The 10,674-nt window shown below is 45.2% G+C and overlaps 3 annotated features.

The window, feature by feature from the left end:
• Positions 46-95: a silencer, noted in NCBI's record as "silent region_9341". NCBI's record gives its function as "represses an Ori minimal core promoter by ATAC-STARR-seq in GM12878 lymphoblastoid cells {active_cell/tissue: GM12878}" and the evidence as "EXISTENCE:reporter gene assay evidence [ECO:0000049][PMID:35858748]".
• Positions 7,121-7,190: an enhancer, noted in NCBI's record as "active region_13135". NCBI's record gives its function as "activates an Ori minimal core promoter by ATAC-STARR-seq in GM12878 lymphoblastoid cells {active_cell/tissue: GM12878}" and the evidence as "EXISTENCE:reporter gene assay evidence [ECO:0000049][PMID:35858748]".
• Positions 9,825-9,904: an enhancer, noted in NCBI's record as "active region_13134". NCBI's record gives its function as "activates an Ori minimal core promoter by ATAC-STARR-seq in GM12878 lymphoblastoid cells {active_cell/tissue: GM12878}" and the evidence as "EXISTENCE:reporter gene assay evidence [ECO:0000049][PMID:35858748]".

Raw genomic sequence — 10,674 nt, 5'->3', positions numbered from 1 at the left:
CTACAAGAGAGGGAGATTCGAAGAGATTAAATCCAATTAATAGGACTGTCGCATTTTGGGAGGCCGAAGCGGGGGTATCACCTGAGGTCAGGAGTTCAAGACCAGCCTGGCCAACAGGGTGAAACCCCCGTCTCTACTAAAAAGACAAAAAATTAGCTGGGCGTGGTGGCGGGCGCATGTAATCCCAGCTACTCGGAAGGCTGAGGCAGGGGAATCGCTTGAACCCGGGAGGCGGAGGCTGCAGTGAGCGGAGATCGCACCACTACACTCCTGCCTGGGCAACAAGAACGAAACTCCGTCTCCCAAAAAAAAAAAAAAAAAAAAAAAGTACTGTCACCATCACGTTTCTGAACAGCAGGGCACTGTGAGTGCAGCACCTAATACAAATTCCTCACTGAACGGAAAGAAGGTCTTAGAGAAGCCCAAAGTCTTATGCTGATTCTGTTCCAACACCAGGAACCTAGCATTGCTTACTGTACCTGAAGCAAATCACACAATGGGCCAGGCGCTGTGGCTCAAGCCTGTAATTCCAGCACTTTGGGAGGCCGAGGCGGGCAGATAGCGAGGTCAAGAGATCGAGACCATTCTGGCCAACATGGTGAAACCCCGCCTCTACTAAAAATACAAAAATTAGCGGGGCGTGGTGATGCGCGCCTGTAGTCCCAGCTATTCGGGAGGCTGAGGCAGGAGAATCGCTTGAACCCAGGAGGTGGAGGTTGCAGTGAGCTGAGATCGTGCCACTGCACTCCAGCCTGGCAACAGAGCGAGACTCCGTCTCAAAAAATAATAATAATAAAAATAAAATCCACAATGTAGCAGATTATTTTCACTTTAAGTTCCAATCTATAAGACAAACTTTTCAGTCTTCATCTTTCTCAACATCTCATCAAAATATATATATTTTTTATTTTTTTGAGATGGAGTCTCACTCTGTCGCCCAGGCCGGAGTGCAGTAGCGCGATCTCAGCTCACTGCAACCCTTGCCTCCCGGTTTCAAGCCATTCTCGTGCCTCAGCCTCTCCAGTAACTGAGATTACAGGCGCGCATCACCATGGCCCGCTAATTATCGTCTTTTTATGTATGTATGTATGTACGTACGTATGTATGTATTTTGAGACAGAGTCTCCCTCTGTCGCCCAGGCTGTAGTGCAGTGGCGCGATCTCGGCTCACTGCAAGCTCCGCCTTCCGGGTTCACGCTATTCTCCTGCCTCGGCCTCCCAAGTAGCTGGGACTACAGGCGCCAGCCACCACGCCCGGCTAATTTTTTTGTATTTTTAGTAGAGACGGGGTTAGCCAGGATGGTTTCGATCTCCTGACCTCGTGATCCGCCCGCCTCGGCCTCCCAAAGTGCTGGGATTATAGGCGTGAGCCACCGCGCCCGGCATTATTGTCTCTTTAGTATGTGAGCTTCATCAAAATTTAACACAAACACTCCCCTTCCCTCTTTCGGGTTTCAGGATGCCAAGCTCACCTGGCCTTTTTCCTTATCCTACTAACTACTCTTGCTTTGTTTTGTTTTGTTTATAGACAGGGTTTCTCGCTCTGTTGCCCAGGCAGGAGTGCAATGGCACAATCAGGGCTCACTGCAGCCTTGACCGTCTGGGCTCAAGCTATCCTCCTGCCTCAGCCTTCTCAGTAGCTGGGACCACAAGTGCGTGCCACCATGCCCAGCTAATATTTTATTTTTTATTTCGTAGAGAAGAGGTCTTACTATGTTGCCCAGGCTAGTATCCAACTCCTGGGCTCAAGAGATTCCACTGCCGTGGCCTCCCAAAGTACTGGGTTTACAGGCCCAGAGCCTCCATGCCCAGCCTCTAACTACTCTTTCTAAATCTCCTTAGCTGGTTCCTCCTTCCCTATGGAGCCAATACATGTCACAGTGTTTCCCGGCTTGTGGCTGTAGTCTTTTTATGTATACTTTTTCTTTTAACCTGGTAATCTCCTCCAAAACCATGACTTTGATTTGTATCTCTAGCCTAGACTTCATCGCTGATCAACAGAACTCTTAGATATTGTAAGACAATACTTATCGGCTGGGCATGGTGGCTCATGCCTGTAATCTCAGCACTTTGGGAGGCCGAGATGGGCAGATCATGAGGTCAAGAGATCGAGACCATCCTGGCCAACATGGTGAAACCTCGTCTCCACTAAAAATACAAAAATTAGCTGGGCGTGGTGGCGCATGCCTGTAGTCCCAGCTACTTGGGAGGCTGAGTCCCAGCTACTCGGGAGGCTGAGGCAGAAGAATTGCTTGAACCCGGGAGGCGGAGGTTGCAGTGAGTGGAGATTGTGCCACTGCGCTCCAGCCTGGGCGACAGAGCAAGACTCCGTCTCAAAAAATAATAATAATAATAAAAATTAAAAAAAATAAAGTTTCCCCAGGTGAGTCCTACACACATTAAACTTTGATAAATATTGCCCTTTTTTTGTTGTTTGAGACTGACTTGCCACGCCTGGCCAAAACTTTATATTTATTTATTTATTTATTTATTTATTTTTGAGATGGAGTTTCACTCTTGTTGCCCAAGCCGGAGTGCAATGGCACGATCTCAGCTCACTGCAACCTCTGCCTCCTGGGTTCAAATGATTCTCCTGCCTAAGTCTCCTGAGTAGATGGGATTACAGGCACTCACTACTGCGCCCAGCTAATTTTTTGTATTTTTAGTAGAAATGGGGTTTCACCATGTTAGCTCGGCTGGTCTCGAACTCCTGACCTCAGATGATCCATCCACCTTGGCCTCCCAAAGTGCTGGGATTTCAGGCTTGAGCCACCACGCCCAGCCTGGAAACTTTAAAATGAAAATCTGATTCAATCGTTGTGGGGCCTGAAATTCTGCAGTTCTAACAAGCCTTCAGTTGATGAAGCTGCCCCTACTCTATACACATCAATTTGAGTAGCAAGGCTAAAACGGATATTTGTGTGTTGCCTTCTCAACATCTATTCCCTTGTCTTTCCAAATGTTTCTAATATTCTTCTTGTGATCCTTGTGGTCCTAAGAAAGCTGACTCTACCCTTTTAATACTCCATTCCATTACTTGTTCACAGTAGGTTTGGGATCTAAGTTGATCCAATTGGACCTTTAGAGGGAATGTTCTTTTCTTTTGTTGTGAATGGAAAGGGAGTAACCCCTGGAGCTGTTGGGAACTTCCTTACAACCAGGAGAAGAACCAATTTCAGGACATAGTGTTGTTTGTTTCTTTGTTTGTTTGTTCATTTAGACAGGATCTTGCTCTGTTGCCCAGGCTGGGGTGCAGTGGTGTGATCCTAGCTCACTGTAGCCTTAGGCTCCTGGGAATAAATTGATCCTCCCACCTCAGCCTCCCAAAGTGCTGGGATTACAGGGAGCCACTGTGCCCAGCCAAGGACAGAGTTTATAAAAAACTAAAACCTGTGATGACATCAATGAGCCCCTAGATAATGAATACTGCCTGAATGTTGCTATTTAGAATTAAATAGCCAGCCCTGCAGTGCATGCCTATAGTCTCAGCTACTTGGAAGGCTGAGGCAGGAGAATCACTGGAGCCCAGGAGTTTGAGGCCAGCCAGGGCAGCACAGGAAGACCCTATCTCAAAAATGAAAAAAATTAAATAAAATTTAAAAATTCAGCTCCTCAGGCCAGGTGTAGTGGCTCATGCCTGTAATCCCAGCACTTTGGGAGGCCGAGGCAGGTGGATCATGAATGAGGTCAAGAGATCAAGACAATCCTGGCCACCATGGTGAAACCCCATCTCTACTAAAAATACAAAAAAATTAGCCGGGCATGGTGGTGCATGCCTGTAGTCTCAGCTATTCGGGAAGCTGAGGCAGAAGAATTGCTGAAACTTGGGAGGTGGAGTTTGCAGGGAGCCGAGATCACGCCTCTGCACTCCAGCCTGGGCGATGAGCAAGGGTCCATCTCAAAAAAAAAAAAAAAAAAAATTCAGCTCCTCAATTTTGGTAACTGCATTTCTTTTTTTTTTTTTCGAGATGGAGTCTTGCTCCATCACCCAGGCTGGAGTGCGGTGGCTCCATCTCAGCTCACTGCAACCTCCACCTCCTGGGTTCCAGCAATTCTCTGCCTCAGTCTCCCAAGTAGCTGGGATTACAGGGGCCCGCCACCTCATCCGGCTAATTTTTGTATTTTTAGTAGAGACAGGGTTTCACCACCTTGGCCAGGCTGGCCTTGAACTCCTGACCTTGTGATCCACCCTCCTCGGCCTCCTCAAGTGCTGGGATTACAGGCGTGAGCCACCATGCCTGGCCTAGTAACTACATTTCAAATACTCATATGTGTCTATGGCTACCCTTTTGAACAATGCAGATATATGAATATTTCCATCATCATAGAAAGTGTGATTGCACAGTGTTTTTTGAGGACCATATTTGTTTCCTTCTTAGCATTTAATTATTTACTTATTTATTGTCAGATACAAGATTGCAAACTGAAAGCAGGGAATTATGTCTTTTCTGTTGACTGCAGCACCTCCAGCATCTAAAATAATGCTTTGTTGATATGTCCTCAATAAATATTTGTGAAATAACTAAATGCCTCGGCTGGGCGTAGTGGCTCACACCTGTAATCCCAGCATTTAGGGAGGCCCAGGTGGGCGGATCACCTGAGGTCAGGAGTTCGAGACAGGCCTGGCCAACATGGTGAAACCCTGTCTCTACTAAAAATACAAAAATTAGCCGAGTGTGGTGGCGGGCGTCTGTAATTCCAGCTATTCAGGAGGCTGAGGCAGGAGAATGGCTTGAACCTGGGAGGCAGAGGTTGCAGTGAGCCAAGATCGTGCTACTGCACTCCAGCCTGGGCAACAAGGTGAGACTCTGTCTCAAAAAAAAAAAAATAATAGGCCGGGCGCGGTGGCTCATGCCTGTAATCCCAGCACTTTGGGAGGCCGAGGCGGGCAGATCACGAGGTCAGGAGATCGAGACCATACTAGCTAACATGGTGAAACCCCATCTCTACTGAAAATACAAAAAAATTAGCCGGGCGTGCGCCTGTAGTCTCAGCTACTCGGGAGGCTGAGGCAGGAGAATGGTGTGAACCCCGGAGGCGGAGCTTGCAGTGAGCCGAGATGGCGCCACTGCACTCCAGCCTGGGCAACAGAGCGAGACTCCATCTGGAAAAAAAAAAAAAAAAAAGAAAAAAAAATAATAACTGAATGCCTCTTCTATTAGGATGCATGCTCCATGAGGAAGGAGACTTGAATGTATTGTTCTCTGCAGTATCCCCAGTACTGAGCATGGGGTACTCCTCTCTATTATCTTGAAGGCCCCTCCTACTTTGGGCTGATAAAAGAAAATAACTTGTATTTGATGAATCAGAGTTTTTTAACTTTATCAAGCCCAGAGAAACATTAAAATGAGACACACGTCTCATTCATCTATTGAAACTGTTTGTGGCCGGGCCTGGTGGCTCACACCTGTAATTCCAGCACTTTGGGAGGCCAAGATGGGAGCCTCCCTTGAGCTCAGAAGTCCAAGACCAGCCTGGGCAATATGTTGAGACCCCAAGTTTCTACTAAAAATACAAAAAAAAAAAAAATAGCTGGGCATGGTGGTGCACGTCTGTGGTCCCAGCTACTCGGGAGGCTGAGGCAGGTGGAGGCTGCAATGAGCTGAGATGGTGCTACTGCACTCCAGCCTGGGCGACAAAGCCAGACCCGGTCACACACACACACACACAAAACTGTTCACTATTATTACAAGTAGCTATAAATTACCTACTAATGCCACACCAGACACTAAACCCCATACTCTATAGCTTAACAATGCATAGTCAATCACTAATCAATGTTATTTCTGTAAGCCAATGATAATTCTTGAAAAACAACTTTCTATCAGCTCACTCCCTGTCCAGGTTTTTTGCCTTTAAAAACCTGCTTGTAACAAAGGCCAAAAGGAGCTCGTATTCAAATTTACTTGTGTCTGAGTCTTCCGGGCAGCTGTCCTCACTTTGGCTCAAGTAAACTCTTTAAATCACATTTTGTGTTTCAGCCTCTTCCTTTTAGGTTGACAGGGGCCTGCCTACTTCTTAAGCCATCCCCTTTCCCCTCAATAGTATAAGAATATTTGGGGCTGGGCGTGGTGGCTCACGCCTGTAATCCCAGCACTTTGGGAGGCTGAGGCAGACAGATCATGGGAGGTCAGGAGTTTGAGACCAGCCTGGACAACATGGTGAACCCCCGTCTCTACTAAAAATACAAAAAATTAGCTGCGTGTGGTCGTGGGTGCCTGTAGTCCCAGCTACTTGGGAGGCTGAGGCAGGAGAATCACTTGCACCCAGGAGGTGGAGGTTCCAGTGAGCCGAGATCGCACCACTGCACTCCAGCCTGGGTGACAGAGTGCGACTCCATCTCAGAAAAAAAGAAAAACAAAAATGGAGTTCTTGCAATTCATCAAGCTTACTTCCTCTCCAGTCTTTCATACATACAGTTCTTTAATCTGGCTAACACCTACTCATCCCCTCTCAAGTATGTGGGGCCAGCATTATTATTTGTATGGTAGTGATGTGTCTCCCAGATGGCAAATTGAAATGTCATTGTCAGTTGATTTATCCTAAATTGCTGTACTTTTTATTTTCTAGCTCAAAAATTTTTTAGGATTTTTACTTTCTCATAGCATAAAACCATCAAAGAGTCCTGAAATAAAGTCAACAAGAGTGGGGCAACAAATAATGCCTTAATTTCCTGCTAGCAGGAGGATTAATCTGAAAGTGAGATTGTCCTGTCCTCTGTGATTTGGCAGAGGCTTTATCTATTGCAGGCATTTAGATTGGTCACAAGACAGAAAAGGAACAAGGAAATGGGAAAATAATACATGGAGCAATGCAACTATTCCATTATTAGTTTTCAGAAGTAGACATCCTACTGATAAGCAAAGGCAGAAAAGTATATACTGCAATTTAGAGTCAGTAAGGAAACAAGCAATTTAAACAAGTCCAGGAAATTACATTCATGGTTTTGAGTTCAGCAGGAGAACATGGTCTTTTAATTCTTGCTGTAGGGGGTGTGAAAAAGACCTTCACCACTTATGTAACTATAATGTTGAGCACCACGATGTGTCATCTAGGTTATAGCGTTTATTTCTAGCACTGGTACACATCAAAGCTGAAACAATCAAAGATGTCCCCAGGACTTTCTTGGGAGATCTCAGAACGGGGGCCACTCTTTTCACTGAAACCAGTTTGCTGTGAACTTATGTAATCTCTGCCGAGTTGTCAGGAAAGCATACTTGAGAATGAAACTAATACAGATGAAAGAAGAGCTGGGCATTGTAGAGTGTCCTGCTGACATCATCTGACATCCTCAGGTTTTAGGATGACCTGAGGTCAGCAGTTCCCCTATAGCTCCTGGTTATGGTAGCAATACTTTTTTTTGTTTTTTTTTTTAAATGTTGCTCACATGAGTTTGAGCTGGATTTCAGTCATTTTCTAACTAAAGAGACCTGACTAACATTTTGTTTGGATTATCAAACACTACTTTCTTTTTCTAAGTTGAATGTCTTCCTACAGTTATCTGAAAAAATATTTTCTTGCTAGTCTTAGACCCCCTTTGAACTAAAACTTGTGATTCTTTCAGTTGTGATCTATAATTCTCTACCTGTTCAATGCTAGGCTTCTCACTAATTGTAAAACTTTTAACATTTAAAAATATTTATTCATTCATTAATAAAAATGCTTTAGATGTAGACATAAGTAACAGTTATATTTCCAAATTATAAGTTATATTTTTATTTTTCTTTTTTACAAAATTTTTAACTTTTATTTTAGGTTTGAGGGTACATGTGAAGGTTTGTTACACAGGTAAACACGTGTCATGGGGGTTTGTGGTACCCATTATTTCATCACCCAGGTATTAAACCCAGTACCCAACAGTTATCTTTTCTGCTCCTCTCCCTCCTCCCACTCTTCCTCAAAAAACTTTAATTCTTTTTTTGTTTGTTTGTTTTGAGATGAAGTCTTTGCCCAAGTGGCACGGTCTCAGCTCACTGCAACCTCTGCCTCCAGGGTTCAAGTGATTCTCCTGCCTCAGCCTCCTGAGTAGCTGGGATTACAGGCAGGTGCCACCATGCCCGGCTAATTTTTGTATTTTTAGTAGAGACGAGGTTTCACCATGTTGGTCAGGCTTGTCTTGAACTCCTGACCTCAGATGATCTGCCCGCCTCGGCCTCCCAAAGTGCTGGGATTACAGGCATGAGCCACTGTGTCCGGCCAACTTTAATTCTTTACTCTTTCCTGAAAGAGACTGTAATCTCAAAGACATTTAAATAATAATGGATTATTATTTAATCAGATTATTATTGTTTCTTAGTAGACAACCAAATTAAATGAACCAAATTCCAAAGCTCATAGATAGAATGCTCTAAAAGAAAACTACCGATAGAAGGAAAAACAAATATGATATAATAGTTCAGAGGAAGATTTAATCAATTACACTACAAATTGAGACTACTGGTATTCATGAATCGGAAGTGAAAAATATCCTTCAAAATGATAAAGAATAATGCTCAAGAAAGTTTATTTTTTCCCATGAACGCAAACTATTTATTCTTTTCACAGAAACTGATTATATATAGTTTTAGAAAAGAAAATAAGGCCAGGCACGGTGGCTCATGCCTGTAATCCCAGCACTTTGGGAGGCCGAGGAGGGTGGATCACCTGAGGTCCGGTGTTCCAGATCAGCTTGACTGACATGGTGGAACCCTGTCTCTACTAAAAATACAAAAAAATTAGCTGAGCGTCATGGCGGGCACCTGTAATCCCAGCTAATTTGGAGGCTGAGGCAGAATTGCTTGAACCAGGGAGACGGAGGTTGCAGTGAGCCAAGATCACGCCACAACACTCCAACCTGGGCAACAGAGCAAGACTCTGTCTCAAAAAAAAAAAAAAAAAAAAGAAAATACAGCATAAATTGCAGGCATGAATTATGTATCGAAAATACATGATTTATTTCGTTTCTTGTTTTTTTAAGGCCACTGGCTGGGATCAGACACCAGGGTCAGCAGAGCAACAAGCTGCTATGGCCTAGGCTCCTGGCCGGAGGGCTATGATTTCATATGGTCTGATATTTGCACGAATTCCTATGCTCCTGATTGAGGCCAATTTAGCACATAGAGTGGAATAGACTACTCAGAAGCAGAGGCCTATTTTGTGAGAATCGACACTCATAAATATGGTTTCTTTGTATGCCAGAATTTGAATTACTATAGACAAAGTAGTTTATCCAACCAAAAGAAGTCCCACCAGTTGTCTGGCAATCAGAAGACGAAGATGAAGGGAAACATAGGTCAGGTCTCCTGATAAATAACCAGCTTTTAACCAGACCAGTAGTTTACTCCTGTTCCCCCGCCCCACCCCCCGCCCCCAATTTGAGCTGTTTGGCATATGTCATTAAAGTGTGTATCAGGGACTGGAGCTGAAGGTGGAAGCAGCGGACAGGTCTTTGCCAAGTAACACAACTATGGTAATGTGAAGAATGGCCTCACCCATCAATACCTCCCAAACAGCTGGGATTACAAACGTGAGCCACTGCGCCCAGCCTCGTTTTTGTTTTTAAGCCATAACATCTCCCTGCGCAAACTGACAGGCAGCTCACTATTCGTGGAAGATGAATTGTCAGAAAAACATCAGGTTTGACAAACTTAGAGCACATTTTGGTTGTACTTGGCTTCAAAGAAGGAGGGCAGGAAGGGGAAAACCCATTTATGATCACCTCTTCCCATTCTGAAATGCAGAAGTACCGAACTAGCCTCACAGTTCCGCAAATAAGCAAAGGGTAGCACAGAACATATGTTCAAAAGCAGTCTAGTAGCCGGAGCAGTGGCTTAGGCCTGTAGTCCCAGCGCTTTGGGAAGCCAAGGAGAGAAGAGAGGATCACTTGAGGCCAGGAGTTCGAGATCAGCCTGGGCTGGTCTCAGTGAGACCTTATCCCTACAAAATATAAAAAAATTAGCCTGGCGGCCGGGCGCGGTGGCTTACGCCTGTAATCCCAGCACTTTGGGAGGCCGAGGCAGGTGGGATCACAAGGTCAGAAGTTCGAGACCAGCCTGGCCAAGATGGTGAAACCCCGTCTCTACTAAAAATAAAAAATTAGCCGGGCATGGTGGCAGGCACCTGTAGTCCCAGCTACTCAGGAGGCTGAGGCAGGAGAATTCCTTGAACCTGGGAGGCGGAGGTTGCAGTGAGCCGAGATCGTGCCATTGCACTCTAGCCTGGGTGACAAGAGTGAGACTCCATCTCAAAAAAAAAAAAAAAAATTAGCCTGGCATGGTGTCGTGGGCTTCATACATGCAGTTCTCAGGGAGGCTGAGGCAGGTGGGATCGCTTGAGCCCAAGTCGAGGCTGCAGTGAGCCGTTACTGTGCCACTGCACACCAGCCAGGGCTACACAGCAAGATCCTTCCTGTCACAAAAGAAAGAAGTGTGGGAACCATGAATCCTAGTGATAGAATCTTGGATTCTATCTCTAGAGGCGTCCAAGAGCGAGCCAAAGCTTTGTCTGAACACTCAGTCTGACTAAGTCTAGCAGAATATTTTACAATTTCTGATGATTCTTGCACTCTGATACACAGGAAGAAAGTGTGCAAGGAGAGGGCGAAGCCCTGCATTTTTTGGAGGTGCTGGAGGGCAGTGTAGGGACTGCACCCTCCTTTTTTTTTTATTTGAGACAGGGTCTCACTCGTCCAGACTA

The sequence above is a fragment of the Homo sapiens genome, chromosome 18 (genome assembly GCF_000001405.40).
Source record: "Homo sapiens chromosome 18, GRCh38.p14 Primary Assembly".
NCBI lineage: Eukaryota > Metazoa > Chordata > Mammalia > Primates > Hominidae > Homo > Homo sapiens.
Note: the sequence above shows the minus strand (reverse complement) of the source record. Positions and strands in the feature narration are given on the sequence as shown.